Here is a 21958-nt window from a genome sequence, read left to right on the forward strand (position 1 = left end):
GGCCCTGATGTCAGGAGGGAGCTTCAGAAACAGGCTGCAGGGCCAGATGGTACTTTGGAGGGCCTCCTGGGAGTGGTCACCTTAGACTTTGCTGTGGGAACTTGGAGGAAGTCCAGAAAAGAGAGAGGAGATACGGAAAAAAAGGCAAAAGCTCTAATACCTGCCCTGAAGCTTCACGGACTCCATAGTCCCTGAGATGCACCCGTTGTCTGCTGCAAATGTGGCAGGCCAGGCCACTTCAGGAGAGACTGTCTGGGCAGTGCGGGGAGGCCACCTCAACCCTGTCTGGTTTGCAGTGGGAACCATTGTAGGGGCAGCCTGTCCCTGGAGACACAGGTTGCCGGGTCCAGGACCAGACTTCCAGATGGTCCAGAAGGACAGATGGATTCTAGGGCTCCTTTCCCAAGCTCTGATGGTTCAGACCACTATTACCATCCAGGAGCCCTGGGTTGAAGGGAGGAAGGTAGCCACCTCCTGGACTCTGGAGCAGGCCTTTCAGTTCTCCTCCCCAACCCAGGCCCCCTTCCTCTCTTAGCACGACTGTAAGCAGCATCTCAGGTCTTCTTCCCCACCACGCCAGGAGTCAACATAGTCTTGTGACTACAGGGAGCTTTTCTCTGTGGGGTTACTTTTGTTTCCGTTAGGGAGTGTATTAGTTCGTTTTCATGTTGCTGATAAAGACATACCCAAGCCTGGGAAGGAAAATAGGTTTAACGGACTCACAGTTCCACATCATGAGGAGATTCTCCAGAGTCTGAGGGTCAAAGGCGTTCCAGTGATTTATTTATTTATTTATTTTTTAAGACAGAGACACGCTCTGTCACCCAGGCTGGAGTACTGTGGCACAATCTCAACTCACTGCAACCTCACAATCATGGCAGAAGGAGAAAGGCACTTCTTACATGGCAGAAGCAAGAGAGAATGAGGAAGAAGTGAAAGCAGAAACCCTTTATGAAACCATCAGATCTCATGAGACTTATTCACTACCATGAGAACAGTATGGGGGAAACCATCCCCATGATTCAATGACCTCCCACTGAGTCTCTCCCACAACATGTGGGAATTATGAGAGTATAATTTAAGATGAGATTTGGGTGGAGACACAGAGCCAAACTGTATCAGGGAGGCACCTTATTAGGTCAGGTCCCCAATTTCTGGGACTCCCTTTCTCTCCCTTGTTTGAGGAGGACCTGGCCTCACGGCTTCACCTGCTTATGATAGAGAGGCAGTAGAGGAGCAGCCCCCTCCAGTTGCTATCTGCAATTTGGCGAGGGCCACATGGGACTAATTTAATGGGTCCATAGACCCATCTGAGTCACCTTTTTTGTCCCAAGCTTCACTTTAAAGTCCTGAAATGGGACATTAGACCTGAGGCAGATGACAGCAGGAGTTGAGAGGCACAGCCCAGGTGAGCATGACTAATTCCTGCCAGTTAGCCCTCCTGCTTCATGGATGGAAGCATAGATAAGGTCTAGGGAACCCAAAGGTTACCAACAGCAGAAGGATAGGGTGGTATGTAGGTAAGTGCGAATATTCCTACCCACTAGGCCTTCCCGCTGCATGGGTGAAGGTTGCACTCGCAGCTATGAGTGGCACCTGCAAAGGTCACTGGGACTCAAGGATATAAGGTTGGAAGAGGAAAAAGAGATGCCTTTTTAAAAAAATCTCCATCACGTACCCCAGGTATTCACTGGAAAGAGAGGAACAAAGGGATGTCTTTCCCCTCTTTCCAGATGGGTAAGCAACCAATCATTTTCAGCCTGCACTCCTCTCAAGTGCATTCTAAATTACTGGAACGCAGCCGGGTGTGGTGGCTCATGCATGTAATCCCAGCACTTTGGGAGGCCAAGGTGGGTGGATGACTTGAGGCCAAGACTTTGAGACCAGCCTGACCAACATGGCAAAACCCCATCTCTACCGAAAATACAAAAAATTAGCTGGGCATGGTGGCACATGTGCCTGTAATCCCAGCTACTTGGGAGGCTGAGGCAGGAGAATCACCTGAACCCAGGAGGCAGAGGTTGCAGTGATCTGAGATTGTGCCACAGTACTCCAGCCTGGGTGACAGAGCATGACTCTGCCAAAAAAAAAAAAAAAAAGAAGAAGAAAAGAAAAAAGACACTGGAACTCCTTTGACCCTCAGACTCTGGAGAAAAAAACATTTTTCCTTTATTCCTCCTCTGTTCTCTCTTCACAGATGGGTAATCACACCTCTGTACCACAGGATACTCCCCTGGGATCCATCCCGCAAACTAGGAAGAGTTTAATTTCCCCAAGCGTTAAACTGCTTGGCAATTTCTTGAGGAGGGACAACTTCTCTTTGGCTGTTCCCCTTCACAGGACTCCAGGGTCAATAGGGCTCCATGGCTCAGGGGAATGGAACCCAGAAGCCTGACATGCTGACAAAAGGGTAAGAGTTTTTAGCAGTTGGACTTCTGGCTTCTCTCTCTCTGTGCAAGCTGGTTGTAGGAATGACAAAAACTGTATTCTCTGCCCCTCCATGAGTTCAAAAGTCAGAAGTATTGGCCATTTGGCATGGCTAAGGTCAGGTAGTAACATATTTTAAAAGATTTCCTTTTTTTTTTTGAGACAGAGTCTTGTTCTATTGGCCAGGCTGGAGTACAGTGGTGCAATCTCAGCTCACTGCAACCTCCGTCTCCCAGGCTCCAGCAATTCTCCTGCCTCAGCCTTCCAAGTAGCTGGGATTACAGGCATGTGCCACCATGCCCGGCTAATTTTTGTAATTTTTAGTGGAGACAGGGTTTCACCATTTGGCCAGACTGGTCTCGAATTCCTAACTGCAGGTGATCCACCTGCCTCAGTCTCCCAAAATGCTGGGATTATAGGCATGAGCCACTGCGCCTGGCCAGGACTTCTTAAAAAGGAAGTGCTATGGTTGGCCAGGTGTGATGGCTTGCACCTGTAATCCCAGCACTTTGGGAGGCCGAGGCGGGCAGATCACAAGGTAAGAAGATCGAGACCATTCTGGCTGACATGGTGAAACACCGTCTCCACTAAAAATACAAAAAAAATTATCCAGGTGTGGTGGTGGACACCTGTAGTCCCAGCTACTCAGGAGGCTGAGGCAAAAGAATGGCATGAACCCATGAGGCGGAGCTTGCAGTGAGCTGATATCAAGCCACTGCACTCCAGCCTGGGCAACAGAGCAAGACTCTGTCTCAAAAAAAAAAAAAAAAAAAAGGAAATGTGATGGTTAAAAGTCAGCTTAATTAAAGATGGAGGATATCCAAACTATAGGTATATTTAAAAGGCCTTTATGTCGTTTATCGTTGTAGATTTTGTTTTTCTGGAAAAAGGTGTTTTCTTTTCGGTCAACTGAACAATTTTTCTCCATTTTTGTCTTGCCACTCTTAATGCACACATGAGGGGTTCCAGGATGACTTCTGGTGGCCTGGGACTCCTTGGGAAAAACAGAGGAGGCGCCACTGATCCGTTTTGGGAAAAACCTCTGTTTTCCTCAGGAACTTCAGGAATTACGGGCAGATGGATCCCTCTCAAAATCTATTTTTGTCTTCCAGCTATGCCTACTTATTAAGCCTTAGAAACTACATGTTTTCCTAGCCCTGGTTCTCGAAGGGCTCCACCCCCCGGCCAGTAATCCAATTAAGAAATTGGCACAAGAGGCTGGGCACGGTGGCTCACACCTGTAATCCAAGCACTTTGGGAGGCCAAGGTGGGAGATTCACCTGAGGCCAGGAGTTCGAGACCAGCCTGGCAGCATAGCAAAACCCCATCTCTACTAAAAATACAAAAACTAGCCAGGTGAGTTGGCGGGCGCCTGTAATCCCAGCTACTTGGGAGGCAGAGGCAGGAAAATCGCTTGAACTCAGGAGGTAAAGGTTGCAGCGAGCCAAGATCATGCCACTTGGACAACAGAGTGAGACTCTACATTCCAGCTTGGACAACAGAGTGAGACTCTGTCTAAAAAAAAAAAAAAAGAAAAAGGAAAAAAGAAAAATCTTACAACTACTAGTGGATCTCCTGTCTGTCATATAGTTATATATGTGTTGTATGTGTGATGTTTATATAAAAGAACTCTAACTGATTAGCTTAAGGAAAAATAAGCACTTAGGTCAAATATTCTTGAAGAAAAATAGAAACTGCAATGCCTTTTAGTTCTCATGACTTAATCTTAGAGAAATAAAAATAGTCTTAAAGATTATTGGTAAAATAAAAATGACTTCAAAATGTAGACATGTGGTCCAAATTATGCAGCTCAGATATTAGGTTTGCTAAATGCTTTAAAGTCATAAACTGCTTCTTTGGCTTTTGAAAACTGTTTGACTTGCCTGCTTTATGGTTTGGTAAGGACTAGGGACATAGGGAGCTAATCACACCCCTAGATATGCTGGAAATATTCAGATCTTATCTGCACCTAGGACATAATTAAAATAACTTACTAGGTTTTCTTTTTTTTTTTTAACTAGGTTTTCTTTTTACCAAAAATAAGAATTGCTAAGAGTTACCATTATAACATGTAATTGAGACTCCTGAAAATAGACTTACATGCAAAGTATATAAGGAAAGTAAACTGTGTCTTTAGTTAAAGAATATAAGAAGGCATGGGAATGTAAATTTTTGCCAAATTTAGAAATTTAAAGGATTGTTTTAAATTAGATAAGATAAAGCTAAGGGTTTAAACAAGTTATAGAAGGTTTGTAAAAATTAATCTTATAAAAGGAATTGTGTGTGTGAATATATTGACTAAATTCTTTTTTTTTTTTTTTTTTTTTTTGAGATCACTATGTCACCCAGGCTGGAGTGCAGTGGCACAATCTTGGCTCACTGCAACCTCCACCTCCCAGGTTCAAGCGATTCTTCTGCCTCAGCCTCCCTAGTAGCTGAGATTACAGGTGCATGCCACCACTCCTGGCTAACTTTTGTATTTTTAGTAGAGATGAGGTTTTGCCATGTTGTCCAGGCTGGTCTCGAACTCCTGACCTCAAGTGATCTGCCCACCTCAACTCCCCAAAGTGCTGGGATTACAAGCATGAGCTACCATGCTCAGTCCATATTGACTAAATTCAAAAGGGTATTATTTGGTTTTCCTGTAAGTTGAACATTGGAATGGAAGCACGATCTGCTATTCTTAGGGCACTGATCTGCGGTTTCATAATAAATGTTATAAGCCTTTAGTATGTTTGATAGGCTTCCCGAAATCACATTTCAACTTCAAAATTGTCTTTTCTAACCCCTAGCTTTTGGATGCTACAGAGGATCCCTGGAGTGTCCAGGGAAGAAGTAGACAGGATGATTTGACATGTTTAGCTACATAGGATTGCCAAAATAAGGTGGTGTTTGGTCTCCGGTGGGTTGCATTTCAGTGAATAATGTTAATGTGTATTCCAAAATTGTATGGGATTTCTAAAGTTCTGACGTCTGAGAAAGTGTTATGAATCATAATTAGGGTTATTATGTTAGGTTATTGTAGACCACAGTGGTTACCAAATTTCTTTGTCAATCATGATTTTGACTGTGACTACCCTAGGACATTTTGACATTCATAGGCAATTGTTGTCTTGTTTTTTATGTTTGTTTGTTTTTGAGATGGAGTCTCGCTCTGTTGCCCAGGCTGGAGTGCAGTGGCGTGATCTTGGCTCACTGCAAGCTCCGCCTCCCGGGTTCACGCCATTCTCCTGCCTCCCTCTCCCGAGTAGGTGGGACTACAGGCGTCCGCCACCATGCCTGGCTAATTTTTTGTATTTTTAGTAGAGACGGGGTTTCACCGTGTTAGCCAGGATGGTCTCAATCTCCTGACCTCATGATCCGCCCACCTTAGCCTCCCAAAGTGCTGGGATTACAGGCGTGAGCCACCACGCCCGGCTGTTGTCTTGTTTTGATCTTCTTCAAAGGGTGGATTATAGACCTCAAGTGCAGGTTTCTGATAACTTTGGAGATTGTGAACAGGAGTTGACTGGGTGAATTGAACTAATGGAAGACCAAAGTAATCATTCTTGATTTTTTGCTTGGAACATTGCTGATCCCTTGTTTTGTTTTTCAGAATCAAGGAAGCTTTTCTTTCCAGCTATTGTAGCTTTTGACATTTGTAGGAGTGAACCAATCAGTGATCTCTGACTGCAGCTCAGAAGAAACTAAAGGGACAGACTGTCAAACTCCAAATGGTGATGCAAATGGAGCCTCAGACGATGACTCCCTTTTACTGGGAGCCCTTAGATAGGCCCCCGAGGGAAAATCTGACTGCCATTTTTCTGAAAACAATGCCCCCTGTCAGCATGAAGCAGTTAAGAATGACCATCATCCAGCCAGGCTCGGTGGCTCACGCCTGTAATCCCAGCACTTTGGGAGGCCGAGGCAGGTGGATCACGAGGTCAGGAATTCAAGACCAGCTTGGCCAACATGGTGATTCCCCGTCTCTACTAAAAATACAAAAATTAACCGGGTGTGGTGTCACGCGCCTGTAGTCCCAGCTACTTGGGTAGCTGAGGTGGGAGAGTTGCTTGAACCCGGGAGGCAGAGATTGCAGTGAGCCAAGATTGCACCACTGCACTTCAGCCTGGGCAACAAGAGTGAAACTCCGAAAAAAAAAAAAAAAGAATAGTCATCATCCCTACCCTAACAGCAGTTAGACGTACCTCTTCAGAGGGGAGTTTGATGGCTGTGGCAGGGCCAAGCAGGAGTCCCGCCCCTCCTGAGTTGGGATGAGATCTCTCCAGGTGCAGCTGCAGCTGCCCAAACCACAGCTGCAGAGCCGGGCCTCCCACTCCACAGAGTAAACAGGAGTCGCACACACCCCCAATGCAGCTGCAGCCACCCAAACAGAGGCTGTGTACCCAGGCATCCCTGCACTCTTGGGGTCCCAGGAAGGTTTCCCTGCCCTCGCAGGCTTGGAAATGCCTGCTCCCACTGCCTGGCTTCTCCCTGCTGTTGGCACCCATTCCAGTCTCAGAGCAAAGTTGGGGCCAAGCCCAGGCACTGTCACAGCCCAGCTGGGTGTGCACATGCTTGGGGCAGTGGTGACACTCCAGTCCCCTGCTGCCTCAGCCCCCTCTGGACCTTGGGTGCTGATGAGCATAGGAAGGAAGCTGAGGGAGGGGTTGAGGGCAGCTTGGTGCTGACCTGCAGGTGCCCCTTGGCATCTATAGCCTCATCACCACGAACAGCAGCAGGAGGCAGACAGGTTCCTGGGTGGAAGGGGGTGGATCCCCGGTGAGGTCCCACCTTCAAGCCAGGGAGGCCCTGAAGCCTGGGGGCCAGGCTGCCAGTCCCACAGACCAGAGTGGGAACTTGTGGTGCCTTTTCCAGGCTGCCCATGGACCAATCAGCATGGACTTCCTCCCCTCTGAGGCCCATCAAAGCCCTGGGCTCAGCCATAGCTAGACAGATATAGGGATGACCAGCTGCAAAGAGAAGCAACCCACTCCAGGGCCTCCTCTCTGCTGAGAGCTGAGCACTTGACATGACGACTAGCTACAGAGAGGATCTACCCACTCCAGGGCCTTTTTTTTTTTTTTTCTGAGCTATTCTGTTGCTCAATAAAGCTCCTCTTCACCTTGCTCACCCTCCACTTGTCCGTGTACCTCATTCTTCTTGGGCGCAGGACAAGAGCTTGGGACCTGCCGAATGGCAGGACTGGAAGAGCTATAACACAAACAGGGCTGAAACACGCCCCTTGCTTGCCGTGTTGATGGTAATGAGAAGGAGAGAAGAGCTCCAGCCCTTCAGAAAGCCTAGACCTGGGAGCTCCCTGAGCCAGGGCAGTGACTCCCTCTTTGAGGCCCAGCATGAAGCTTGGAGTCTCCAAGCTTCTGGGCTCCACCATGGTCCCTGGTGGCAGCCATGGACGCTACTTGTGGTGCACCTGGCCAAGCCGCAGCCTTGCAGAGAGCCAGTGCCCATGCCGGCACCTGGAGCTGCTCACCCTGCTGCAGCAGCCGGTGTGTCTGACTGTGCACAGGGGCTAGACCCCATGCTTGCTTGAACACACACCCCTTGCCACTCCACACCTGGCACACCCTTGGCAGGTGTGGGATCCAGGCTGGTAGCAAGAGCCGAGTGTAGCCTGCCAGGTCAAGTGGGCAGAATGAGCCCAGTGGGCCTGAGCAAAACTCAGGCAAAGATGCCACCAGCCACAGAGGTTTACAGCCAGAAAAGTGACACCATCCCAAGAATTCTGCAATGGCACCACTGCACTCCAGGCTGGGTAATAGAGCAAGACCTTGTATCTATGAACCCTGAAGACATTATGCTAAGTGAAATAAGCCAGACACAAAAGGACAAATCCTGTGTGATTCCACTCCTCTCCTAGGAGTCAACAGAGGTCCCTCAAGTCAACAGATTCATAGAAACAGAAAATAGGCTGGTGGATGCCAGGAGCAGGGGAGGGTGCTGGGGAGTGAGTGTTTCATGGGGACAGTTTCATGCTGGGAAGATGAGAAAGTTCTGGAGATGGATGAAAGAAAGTCAAATGCTATACATTCTCACTTATAAGTGGTATCTAAATAATGTGTACACATGGGTGTAGAGTGTAGAATGATAGACATTGGGTGGGCGGGGGGGGTGGATGGAAGGAGAGAAAGTGATGAAAAATTGTATAACAGATACAAAGTATATTATTCAGGTGATGGATACACGAAAAGCCAAGACCACCATTATGCAATATATGCATGTGACAAACTGTACTTGTAGCCCTTCAACTTTTTAGATTTTTTTTTTTTTTTGAGACGGAGTCTCGCTCTGTCACCCAGGCTGGAGTGCAGTGGCGCGATCTCGGCTCACTGCAAGCTCCACCTCCCAGGTTCACGCCATTGTCTTGCCTCAGCTTCCCGAGTAGCTGGAACTACAGGCGCCCGCCACTACGCCCAGCTAATTTTTTGTATTTTTAGTAGAGATGGGGTTTCACCATGTTAGCCAGAATGGTCTTGATCTCCTGACCTCGTGATCCTCCCGCCTCGGCCTCCCAAAGTGCTGGGATTACAGGCGTGAGCCACCACGCCCAGCCTAGATTTTTAAATCTAGTCACCCAGGCTAGAGTGCAATGGCGCAATCATAGCTCACTGCAGCCTCAACCTCCCGGGCTCAAGCAATCCTCCCACCTCAGCCTCCCCAGTAGCTGGGACCACAGGCATGTGCCACCACATCCAGCTAATTTTTAAAATTTTTTTTTGTAGAGATAGGGTCTCCCTATGTTGCCCAGGCTGGTCTTGAACTCCAAAGAAAGTAACATTTTGGATGTTCTGGTCTTGCTTTTGGTCCATAACGGAACTGTTACTGTTAATACGTTAAGTCTCTACCGCCCTCTAGTGGTTCACTTTATTTGCACCCCGGGAACAACGTTGAGTGTTCCCTTTTTATTTTGCCTAGTAGACGGTCCAGCCCTCTTTTGGGTACTTTTTGGAATTCCTTTTGGCCTCCAACCTGTTTCCTGTAAGCTCCCAGTTTGCTGCCTGCCACAAAAGTACACACACAGCCACCTGTTGCAATACACATACATAAGTATATATTTTTTTGAGATGGAGTCTGGCTCTGTCGCCCAGTCTGGAGTGCAGTGGTGTGATCTCGGCTCACTGCAACCTCCGCCTCCTGGGTTCAAGCGATTCTCCTGCCTCAGCCTCCCGAGTAGCTGGGATTACAGGTGCCCACCACCATGCCCGGCTAAACTTTGTATTCTTAGTAGAGATGGGGTTTCACCATGTTGGCCAGGCTGGTTTTGCACTCCTAACCTCAGGTGATCCGCCAACCTTGACCTCCCAAAGTGTGGTGAATACAGTTGTGAGCCACTGTGCCTGACCAGTGATTTTCATTTCCCTAACAACAATGATATTGAGCATCTTCATGTGTGCCTGGAGCTGCTATTATTATTATTATTATTATTATTATTATTATTATTATTATTTTGACAGAGTTTTGCTCTTGTCACCCAGGCTGGAATGCAGTGGCGTGATCTCAGCTCACTGCAACCTCTGCCTCCTGGGTTCAAGTGATTCTCCTGCCTCAGCCTCCTGAATAGCTGGGATTACAAGTGTGTGCCACCACACCCGGCTAATTTTTTGTATTTTTAGTGGAGACAGGGTTTCACCATGTTGGCCAGACTGGTCTCGAACTCTTGACCTCAGGTGGTCTGCCCGCTTTGTCCTCCCAAAGTGCTGGGATTATAGGCATAAGCCCACTGCACCCAGCATTTTTTTTTTTGAGACAGTTTCACTCTGTCGTCCAGTTTGGAGGGCAGTGGTACAATCTCAGCTTACTGCAACCTCCGCCAATTGGGTTCAAGCGATTCTTCTGCCCTAGTCTCCCGAGTAGCTGGAATCACAAGTGTGTGACACCATGCCCAGCTAATTTTTTGTATTTTAGTAGAGATGGGGTTTCACTATGTTGCCCAGGCTGGTCTCGAACTCCTTATCTCAGGCAATCTACTCACCTTGGCCTTTCAAAGTGCTAGGATTACAAGCGTGAGCCACTGCTCCAGCCCTTTTTTCTTTTTCTTTTTTTTTTTTTTTTTTCAGACAGGGTCTCACTCTGTCACTCAGGCTGGAGTGCAGTGGTGTGATCATGGCTCACTGCAGCCTCAACCTCCCTGGCTCATGAAGCGATCCTCCTGCCTCAGCCTCCCAAGTAGCTAAGACCACAGGTGTACACCACCATGCTTGGCTAATTCTTAATTTGTTTGTAGAGACAGGTTCTCGCTATGTTGCCCAGGCTGGTCTCAAAAAATCCTCTCACCTCGGTCTCCCAAAACACTGGGATTACAGGCATGAGCCACCAAGCCCAGCCTGTGCTTGGAGCTTTTGAGTTCACTTTTAAACTTGGAAAGAAGGCAGCCTAGCCCTCCTGGTGGCCGCTCCCACCCATGAAGCCAGCCAGAGGGACGAAGAGAGCCTGGCCCTGGTGACATCATTTGAAGCCTGGACCCAGCCAGGTCTGCAGCCTGGGGCTGAACTTCAAAAGTAGATATGCTGGCCAGGCACAGTGGCTCACGCCTATAATCCCAGCACTTTGGGAGGCTGAGGTGGGCAGATCACCTGAGCTCAGGAGTTCCAGATCAGCCTGGGCAACATGGTTAAACCCCACCTCTACTAAAAATACAAAAATTAGCTGGCATGCTTGCATGCACCTGCAGTCCCAGCTACTTAGGAGGCTGAGGCAGAAGAATTGTTTGAACCCAGAAGGTAGAGGTTGCAGTGAGCCGAGATTGTGCCACTGCACTCCAGCCTGGGTGACAGAGCAAGACTCTGTCTCAAATAAACAAACAAAAGTACATATTGCTGATTGTCCGTTTGTGATTTCAGTCAGTTGGGGTTGAATATTTTGTCCTTTTTCACCAACAGACCTTCCTGATTAAGCGGATCACCTGAGGTCAGGAGTTCAAAACCAGCCTGGCCAACATGGTAAAACCCTGTCTCTATTAAAAATACAAAAATTACCCGGGTATGGTGGTGGGTGCCTGTCATCCCAGCTGCTTCGGGGGCTGAGGCATGAGAATTGCTTGAACCCAGGAGGTGGAGGTTGCAGTGAGCCAAGATCGCACCACTGCACTCCAGTCTAGGCAACAGAGATCCTGTCTCAAAAAAAAAAAAAAGTATATATGCTGATTGTCCATTTGTGATTTCAGGCAGTTGGGGTTGAATATTTTGTCCTTTGTCACCAAGAGACCTTCCCTGATGGAGACTAGGATGTGCAAGGGTCATGTAGCTTGTTAGAATTATAGACTGGAGGCTGGGCACGGTGGCTCACGCCTGTAATCCCAGCACTTTGGGAGGCCGAGGCAGGTGGATCACTAGGTCAGTAGATCGAGACCATCTGGCTAACACGGTGAAACCTGTCTCTACTAAAAATACAAAAAATTAGTCGGGCGTGGTGGCGGGCGCCTGTAGTCCCAGCTACATAGGAGGCTGAGGCAGGAGAATAGCGTGAACCCGGGAGGTGGAGCTTGCAGTGAACCGAGATCACGCCACTGCACTCCAGCCTGGGCTACAAAGTGAGATTGCGTCTCAAAAAAAAAAAAAAAAAAAGAGTTACAGACTGGATTGGGAGGCCGAGGTGGGCAGATCATGAGGTCAGGAGTTCGAGACCACCCTGGCCAATATGGTGAAACCCCGTCTCTACTGAAAATACAAAAATTAGCCAGGCGTGGTGGCACGTGCCTGTAATCCCAGCTACTCAGGAGGCTGAGGCACAAGACTCGCTTGAACCGGGAGGCAGAGGTTACCCAGGCCTCTTGCTCATCGGCTACGTTCATGCCCCAAGAGGAGGCTGTGAGGAGGGGCCAGCAGGAGCCAGAGGACAGATACTGGGGATAGAGCGGGATTTTTTTTTAAATGATTTTGCACTCGGGCCACATAAGCTGGCAAAGAAGAGGAAGAGCCACGGGGTCAGGGGAGGAGGCAGGCGCTTCTCTATCCTCCTCCCTCAGAAGATTTTGTTTGTTGATTCTTTTTTTTTTTTTTTTTGAGACAGAGTCTTGCTCTGTTGCCCAGGCTGGAGTGCAGTGGCGCAATCTTGGCTCACTGCAACCTCTGTCTCCCGGGTTCAAGCAGTTTTCCTGCCTCAGCCTCCCGAGTAGCTGGGACTACAGGCACGTGCCACCAAGCCTGGCTAATTTTTTTTTTTTTTTGAGACGCAGTCTCGCTGTATCGCCCAGGCTGGAGTGCAGTGGGGTGATCTCGGCTCACTGCAAGCTCTGCCTCCCAGGTTCACGCCATTCCCCTGCCTCAGCCTCCTGAGTAGCTGGAACTACAGGCGCCGGCCACCATGCCTGCCTCATTTTTTATATTTTTAGTAGAGATGGGGTTTCACCACGTTAGCCAGGATGGTCTCCATCTGCTGACCTCGAGATCTGCCCACCTCAGCCTCCCAAGGTGCTGGGATTACAGGCGTGAGCCACTGTGCTCAGCCACCCTCCCCAAGAAGATTTTTAACTGAGGTTCTCAACTCTTTGGGTGGTCAAACACCTCTTCAGGGGCTGTCACGGAATCACAGCTCCTCTCCCCCAAATACACCAAGACACACAACATTTTGCAGATGATTTTACAAGTTTACAGACATCCTCAACCCCACCTCTTCCTACCACCATGATCCATCCTGGAGCCACAAGTGAAAAACCTCTGGCTTCTAGAACAAGAAAGGAAGAAGGACTCGGAAGCAGATGACCAGGAATCCAAGTTCAGTCCCACTACTGTCTCACTGTAGTGCAAAGAGCTTTGGAAAAGGACGGACTGGGTTCAAGTCCACGATGTGTGGCCTTAGGCAAGTCACTTGCCCTCTCTGAGCCACATCTATAAAATGAGAGTATTCTCATTTATCTAAAGTGATGCACTCCAGGCACCTAGATTGTATGCCCAAACACCCATCTTTTGCACACAATGTCAAGTGGTCTGTGGACGCTGAAACCCATCCAGGGACCCCAGATAAGAACCTCTTACTATGTGTCTAGGCTGGAATGCAGTGGCACAACCTCCACTTTCTGGACTCAAGCCATCCTCCACCTCAGCCTCCCAAGTAGCTGGGACTACAGGCTCATGCCACCACACCCAGCTAATTTTTTTTAAATTTTTCATAGAGAGGAGGTTTTGCTGTGTTGCTCATGCTGGTCTTGAACTCCTGGGCTCAAGCAATCCTCCCACCTCAGCCTCCCAAAATGTTGGGATTACAGGCATGAGACACTGAGCCTGGCCAAAAGTCTTTGCTGTTGCTCCAGCTTGAAAGCTCATTCCCATCCCAGGGGTTTCACACAGCCATTCCCTCTGTCCAGAATGGACTTGCCCTGGCTTTTGGTATCGTTGGTTCCCTCTTGTCATTAAGGGCTCAACTGCAAAGTGCACTCCCTGGACCACCCATGTGATAGTGCTGCTCCCAGAACCATCATCTTCCAGAATATTATTGTATTTTATCTTTTTTAGCGCCTATCAATGGCTGGAAGTGCTTTGTGTGTGTGTGTTTTTATTTGTTTAATATCTATATCCTTCATTAGGGCAAGGACGTTGTATGTCTTTGTTGTCTTGGATCCCCAGAGGCTAGCATCTGATATATAGCAGGAGCCCAATATATGTATGTGTGTTGAATGGGTGAATGAATGAGTAGTTGAAAAGTAGATGAATGAAAGGATGGTTGAATGATTTGGATGGATAAATGAATGGACAAACGAATGGCTAAATGTGGGCGAATGGATGGATGGATGGATGGATGTAGGGTAAGGTGATGGATAAATAATTGGGTAAATTAATGGATAAATGGCTTAATAGGTGGATGAATGAAAGGATAATAAATGATGGATGATGATGAATAATTGATAATGGATGGATGGATGAATGGATAGTTTGATGGATGATTCAATGGATGGATAGATACATTAATGAATGAATAGGTGGATTAAAGGATAGATAATAGAAGAAAGGCGGAATCGTTGGATAAATTACTGGATGGGCAAATTAAAGGATGAATAGATGATAGTTCAATGGAGAGTTCAATAGATGAATGGATGGATGGATGGATAAATTAGTGGTGGCTGGATGAATGGATAAAGTATTGGATGGGTGAATTAACGGGTGGATGGAAGGATGGAGAAATTAATGTGTGGATGAATTAAAAGATAGGTAGATGGATAAACTAATGGGTAGATAAATTAAAGGATGGGTAGGTGGATGGTTAGATGGATAAATTAATGGATGGATGAATCAAAGGATGGGTGGATGATGAATGGATAGAGGAATAAATTAATGGGTAGATGAATTAAAGGGTGGGTGGATGAATGAATAAATTAATGGTAGATGAATGAATGAATGGATGAATAAATTATGGGGCAGATGAATTAAAGGATGAGTGGGTGGCTGGATGTTTGTCAAACTCTATGCTAAGGACTTCACACACATTCATTTGTTTTAACCACACAAAAACCCCCACAAGACAAGGAATATTATTTCTGTTTTACAGACAATGTCCTTGAGCTTCTGAGGCAGGAAAAATCACTTCCCCAAGATTGTACAACTAGAAAATGGTGGAGCAGGAATTCTAACTTAGGTCTGCCTGACTCCAGGCCCCGTGCTCTTAACCACCATGAAAACAGACCTTCCCCACCACTCCACCACTGCTTTAGAGACTATCCTGGCTACCCTCGCTCCTCTCTCATGTCCACATGCCCCCAAAGCACCCAGACTGCCCAGTCTGGGACTCTGCTGTTCTCAGCTGTGAACCTGAGGACCTCACAAGTCCGTGGGAGGAGATGAGTGGGTCTGCATGTAACATCTCCACATGCACATGTGGATGTAGAATGAGGTGCCTGGAAGTCATGTTCATTCTCTGGGGTGTCCCCCAAGAGCCAGGGACATTGCCATGGCCAGAGACAGATGAGGGAGTCTGGTAGTGACCACCAATATTTAGAAGCTAATATTTATTTATTTATTTATTATTTTTTGAGATGGAGTCTCTCTCTTGTTGCCCAGGCTGGAGTGCAATGGCATGATCTCAGCTCACTGCAACCTCTGCCTCCTGGGTTCAAGCGATTCTCCTGCCTCAGCCTCCCAAGTAGCTGAGATTACAGGCATGCACCACCACGCCCGGCTAATTTTTGTATTTTTAGTAGAGGCGGGGTTTTGCCATGTTGGCCAGGCTAGTCTTGAACTTCTGACCTCAGGTGATCCACCCACCTCGGCCTCCCAAAGTGCTGGGATTATAGGCGTGAGCCACCGTTCCCAGCCTAGAAGCTAATATTTAGATGCCACATCCTTCAGTCACCCCAGTACCTGGTGACACAGTCCCACCAGCTCATGTGACAATGGTCACTGGGAGGCTGTGGACACAGAGGAGGAAATGAAAGAGGATGGGGGGGGTCATGGAGGGGAGATGCACGAGACAGCCCCCCACAGTCACCAGGCTGCTGCTCAGAGATGTCACAAAGTCCATCATCTGCCTCAAGGCAGGGCAGCGCAGGACAAGGAGGACACGGAAGGGGAAACAGAGGAAGGAACCACGAGTGTCCCGCAGGTGCAAGTCCTGACCGGGGCTATCTTCTCAAGACACAGGCAAGTTGTTGGGTGGTTGGATAGTCAAGAGGCTGGCAGGTCTCAGCAGTCCTTGTCATCACCCCGGATTTCCACGTAGGGCAGCCCCACGGGCCAACTGTCCCGAGGCCAGTAGCGGACTTTGAGGGTTTCACCTGGCATCTCATAGTTGGCATCCACCAAGGCCATGGTGACCATGCCATAAGGGAAGGTGATGCTGATGAGCACATGCCTGTGGAGTGCAGGGCGAAGGTGGCGAGGGCACAAGATACCCACAGCCTCACGCCGGCCCTCTTTTTACTTCTCATGGCTCTTGACCATCCATCCAGGGGAGCCTTCTGGGTCTGGCCCCGTGACTGCAGCCTTCCCCTACCGCCAGGTCCCAGTGTCTGGCTCTCCTCTCTCTGCTTCTCCAACCCCAGCCCCCAGGTGCCTACTCCGAGCTTTGGCATCTAAGATTCTCTGACTCTGGGCCCCCCACAGCCTCAGAGCATGTGCTTACCAGATGCTGTGCAGATAGAAGAAATGAATCCTCTGCCAGAAGCTGCAAAGCAGACGGTCACTGATCCAGCTGGTCAGAGCAACAGCCCATAAAACCACGGAGACCTCAATCAGGTGCCGAAGCTCCTTATTGCTGGTCCTAGAGAGGGGAGAGGGGGACCAGGGGCTGGCTCGGAGAGCAGCACCTGATGGGGCTGATGGGAAATTCCTCCTTCCACAGTGATGAGGCTCAGAGGTTGGGAGAAGGGAAAGAGCAGGAATTGAGGGTGCAAGCAGAGGGGGCCCAATCTCGTGCTTAGAACTAACACAGCATTTCCAGCACAACAGGTGCAGTTCCAAATGTCCTTCAAGCCAGGCATAGTAGCTCATGCCTGTAATCCCAGCACTTTGGGAGGCTGAGGTTGGGAGGATCGCTTGAGCCCTGGAGTTTAAGACCAGCCTGGGCAAAATAGCAAGACCCCATCTCTAAAAAAAAAAAAAAAAGTTAAAATTAGCCAGGCATGATGGTGCATGCCTGCAGTTCCGGTTACTCGGGAGGCTGAGGCAAGAGGATCATTTGAGCCCAGGAGTGCAAGGCTGCAGTGAGCCGTGATTGCGCCGCTGCACTCCGGCCTGGGTGACAGAGTAAGACCCTGTCTTAAAAAACAATAATAGGCCGGGCGTGATGGCTCACACCTGTAATCCCAGAAGTCTGGGAGGCTGAGGCAGGTGAATCACTTCAGGCCAGAAGTTTGAGACCAGCTTGGCCAACATGGTGAAACTCTGACTCTACTAAAAATACAAAAAAAAAATTAGCCGGCCATGGTGGTGGCCGCCTGTAATCCCAGCTACTTGGGAGGCTGAGCCACTTGAACCCAAGAGGCGGAGGTTGCAATGAGCCGGGATTGCGCCACTGCACGCCAGCCTGGGTGACAGAGTGAGACTCCATCTTAAATAAATAAATAAATAAATAAAAACAAGTAACAATAATAAATTAAACACCTTCGAATATTAACTCAGTCAGCTGGGCGCGGCGGCTCAAGCCTGTAATCCCAGCACTTTGGGAGGCCGAGGCGGGCAGATCATCTGAGGTTAGGAGTTCGAGACCAGCCTGGCCAACATGGCGAAACTCTGTCTCTACTAAAAATACAAAAATTAGCCGGGCGTGGTGGCGTGTGTCTGTAATTTCAGCTACTCAGGAGGCTAAGGCACAAGAGTCGCTTGAACCCAGGAGGTGGAGATTGCAGTGAGCCGGGATCGCACCATTGCACTCCAGCCTGGGCGACAAGAGTGAGACTCCGTCTCAAAAAAAAAAAAAAAAAAAAGATATTAACTCAGTCCTCACAAGGACTTTGTAGAGGAGTAAATTGAGGCACAGGGATTGCACTATGCCCCACCCCACCCCATGGTTACACAGCTGGTAAGTGGCAGAGCTGGGATCTAAACCAAGTTTTTCTGACTGCATAGTATTTATTCTTAACCAACAAGCCCTTTGGTGCTTGTATGTTTTGGGGTAGAGGTATGTGTGCCTCAAGCTCTCAAAGTGCTGGGATTACAGGCATGAGCCATCATGCCCAGCAAGAATAATATATTTTTTGTAATCAGGGGAGTTAAATTATAAAAAAAAATTAGGGGTGAAATTGTATGAAATCTGGGAGAAATATGTAACAGATTGACAAAATGTGGGTGGTTGTTGTGGCTGGTTAGTGGGCGTGGGGAGGTTTGTGGGGCTATTTTCTCTGCTTGCATGTCTGTTTCTGGGTTTCATCATAAAAAGGACAAACTCTGCTGGGCACAGTGGCTCACGCCTGTAATCTCAACACTTTGGGAGGCCGAGGTGGGCAGATCACCTGAGGTCAGGAGTTTGAGACCAGCCTGGCCAACATGACGAAACTCCGTCTCTACTAAAAATACAAAAATTAGCCGAGCATGGTGGCATACACCTGTACTCCCAGCTGCTCGGGAGGCTGAGGCAGGAGAATCCTTGAACCCGGGAGGCAGAGTTTGCAGTGAGCTGAGATTACACCACTGCACTCCAGCCTGGAAGACAGAGAGAGACTCTGTCTCAAAAATAAATAAATAAATAAATAAAATAAAGATAATGTAGGGTGGATGCAGTGGCTCACACCTGTAATCCCAGCACTTTGGGAGGCTGAGGTGGGTGGATCGCTTGAGCCCAGGAGTTCAAGACCAGATTGGGCAACATGACGAAACCCTGTTTCTACAAAGAAAAATACAAAAATTATCCTGGCATGATGGCATACGCCTCTAGTCCCAGCTACTTGGGAGGCTGGAGTGGGAGGATTGCTTGAGCCTGGGAGGTGGAGGTTGCAGTGAGCCAAGATCACGCCCCTGCACTCCAGCCTGGGCAACAGAGCGAGGATCCGTCTCAAGAAAAAAAATAATAATAAGGACAAACTCTGCAGTCAGTCAGGTTCAAATCCTGGCCCTGCTACTTGTTAGTGGGTGATCTTGGAGAAGGGACGTCCCCTCCGCGAGCCTGGAGTCAGGGGTGCTAGGAGGGGGATGGGAGCCTCCTGCCCAGGCACCTGCAGCCTTCACTCACTTCCTGTACTCCTGGCACACGATGTAGAGAATGTGCAGGGCAATGCTGTTGAGGGCGTAGGCGTTGACCGTGGGCCGCAGGAAGGACAGAAGGGTGCTGACCACAGTGGTGATGAAGACCAGGCGGATGAACTGGGACCTGGGGAGGAAGGGGCTCAGCTGTAGGCGGGAAGGGAGGTCCTGGGATTGTAGGCATGGTCACTTGGAGATCCCGTGGCCCAGGTGGGTGAGAAAAGGACAGGATTCTGGGGAGCCCAGATAGGCTCAGAAAAGGGTCCTAGCCAGGCAGGGCACGGTGGCTCATGTCTGTAATCCCAGCACCTTGGGAGGCTGAGGTGGGCGGATCACCTGAGGTCAGGAGTTTGAGACCAGCCTGGTCAACATGGTGAAACCCCATTTCTTTTTTTTTTGAGACGGAGTCTCGCTCTGTCGCCCAGGCTGGAGTGCAGCAGTGCGATCTGGGCTCGCTGCAAGCTCCACCTCCCAGGTTCACGCCATTCTCCTGCCTCAGCCTCCCAAGTAGCTGGGACTACAGGCGCCCGCCACCACGCCCGGCTCATTTTTTATATTTTTACTAGAGACGGGGTTTCACCATGTTAGCCAGGATGGTCTCAATCTCCTGACCTCGTGATCCGCCCGCCTCGGCCTCCCAAAGTGCTAGGATTACCGGCATGAGTCACTGCGCCTGGCCCTGGTGAAATCCCATTTCTGCTAAAAATACAAAATTTAGCCAGGTGTGGTAGCAGATGCCTGTAATCCCAGCTACTCAGGAGGCTGAGGCACGAGAATTGCTTGAACCAGGAGGCAGAGGTTTCAGTGGGCCAAGATCACGCCACGGCACTCCAGCCTGGGTGACAGAGGGAGATTCTGTCTCAAAAACGACAACAAGAAAAAGGGTCCTAGCCCGGCACGGTGGCTCGTGACTGTAATCCCAGCAATTTGGGAGGCTGAGGTGGGAGGATTGCTTGAGCTCAGGAGTTCGAGACCAGCCTGGGCAACATGGCAAAACCCTGTCTCTACCAAAAATACAAAAAACTAGCTGGATGTGGTGGCATGTGCCTGTAATCTCAGCTACTAAAGAGGCTGAGGCAGGGATCGCTTGAGCCTGGGAATTGGAGGTTGCAGCAAGCTAAGATTGCGCCACTGCACTCCAGCCTGGGGGACACAGCGAGACTTCATCTAAAAAAAAAAAAAAAAAGAAGAAGGAGAAGGAGAAGAAGAAGGTCCTGAGGCTCCCAAGTGGACTCAGCAGAAAGTCTCAGGGAGCCCAGGTGAGCCCAGGCAGCGTCTAAAGGGGGATCCCAGGGAGGACTCAGTAGGATGAGAAGAGGGTCCCAGGGAGCCTGGGAGAGCGTGATGGTTTCCAGGGCCCAGGTGAGGTCAGGCAAGGAGTTCAGGGGATCCCAGCTGGGCTGAGAAGAGGGATCCCTGGGTCCGGGTGAATTTAAGAGATGTCAGACAGTGGCTCTCCAGGACCCAGTAGGGATAAAGGAAAGATGACAGGGGTCCCAGAGGTCAATAGGGTGGGCTGGGGGGGTCCTGGAGGGCTCAGGTGGGTTAAGCCGGGTTAGAAGAGAATTTCACTTGCCTGTAATCCCAGCACTTTGGGAGGCCAAGGCAGGTGGATCACTTGAGATCAGGAGATCGAGACCAGCCTGGCCAACATGGTGAAACCGTCTCTACTAAAAATACAAAAATTAGCCGGGTGTGGTGGCAGGTGCCTGTAATCCCAGCTACTCGGGAGGCTGAGGCAGGAGGATCACTTGAACCCTGAAGGCAGAGGCTGCAGTGAGCCGAGATCGCACCACTGCACTCCAGTGTGGGTGACAGAGCGAGACTCTGTCTCAAAAAGGAAGAAGAAGGAGGAGGAGGAGGAGGAAGAAAAAGAAGAAGGAGGAGGCGGAGAAGAAGAAGGAGAAGGAGAAGGAGGAGGAGGAGAAGAAGAAGAAGAAGGAGAAGGAGGAGGAGAAGGAGGAGGAGAAGGAGGAGGAGGTGGAAAAGTAGAAGGAGAAGGAGATTATTTCACAGGGGTCAAGGGTGGGAGTGGGGATCAATTAGATCAAGAGAGGGACCCAGGGGGTCTAAGCAGATCAGATGAAAGATGCCAGGAACGCCAGGTGAGAGGCTCGGGGAGGAGTCCCTCAGGCCCAGGTAAGTGTAGACATGAGGTCCTGGAACTCCTGTTGGCTGCAACAGATTCTGGAGGAAGTCCCAGGTTATCAAAGTAGGATCAAGGGAGGGATTCCAAGAAACCAGGTAAGCTCAGGGGAGGGGTCTCCAGAAGCCCAAGTGAGTCAGGCAGGGTCAGGAGAAAACCCGAAGTGGTCAGGGGAGGAATTCCAAGGGCCCCAAAGAGGGTCAAGGGTGGGGACCCAGGGGACTCAGGTGAGCTCATGTAGAGTCAACTGAAGACTCAGACCCCACCCTGTCCAGATGGCCAGCCCCTGACCCACCTGTTCCCCCCAAGGAAGGAGGGGAAATAGCAGCGGGGCATCCATATGCTATAGCCACTGCCCAGGAGCCACAGGATGGCGATCTCGTCCAGCAGCTGGCCCAGGAAGCTGAGCGTCATGTGGAAATACATGGAGAACAGGCCTGCAGCGGCAAGGGCAGGCGGTCAGTGGGGTCCGCCACCTCCTAAACCCCCACTGCCTCCCGACTGTCACAGACCTGAACCACACCTCCCTACCTATGATCATGAAGAGGACCCAGACAACGTAAATGTAGCGGGAGCGCTTCTGGGCATACGGGTGCATCAGGAGCATCATCAGTGGCCCGAAGATGAAGAAGGGGATATTGGAGAACTGGAGCAGAGAGAGCCATAGGGAGGAGCTCGTCAGATAGGGGAGACGGAGGAGGCTGCCCTCTGTCCAGACACTCAGTCACCAGCCAGTCGGTTACCTGCTGCATTTCAGGCAATGCATCAACCCAGGATTTGT

The 21958-nt window shown here is 49.5% G+C and overlaps 1 protein-coding gene across 2 annotated transcripts in view; it reads right to left on the minus strand.

Moving 5' to 3' along the window:
• Positions 1-15465: 15465 nt before the first annotated feature.
• The window catches only part of ACER1 (alkaline ceramidase 1), a 54227-nt gene continuing 47734 nt past the window's right edge, over positions 15466-21958 (minus strand). For both annotated transcript variants that reach the window (XM_011527673.3, NM_133492.3), the window contains 5 exons: positions 21709-21823; positions 21473-21614; positions 19021-19158; positions 16477-16614; positions 15466-16206 (listed from right to left, as the gene is read on the minus strand). In XM_011527673.3, coding sequence (XP_011525975.1) covers positions 16038-16206; positions 16477-16614; positions 19021-19158; positions 21473-21614; positions 21709-21787 — 666 coding nt within the window. In that variant the 5' untranslated portion in view covers positions 21788-21823 and the 3' untranslated portion in view covers positions 15466-16037. The remainder of the gene's footprint in view (positions 16207-16476; positions 16615-19020; positions 19159-21472; positions 21615-21708; positions 21824-21958) is intronic.

The sequence above is a fragment of the Homo sapiens genome, chromosome 19, assembly GCF_000001405.40.
Source record: "Homo sapiens chromosome 19, GRCh38.p14 Primary Assembly".
NCBI lineage: Eukaryota > Metazoa > Chordata > Mammalia > Primates > Hominidae > Homo > Homo sapiens.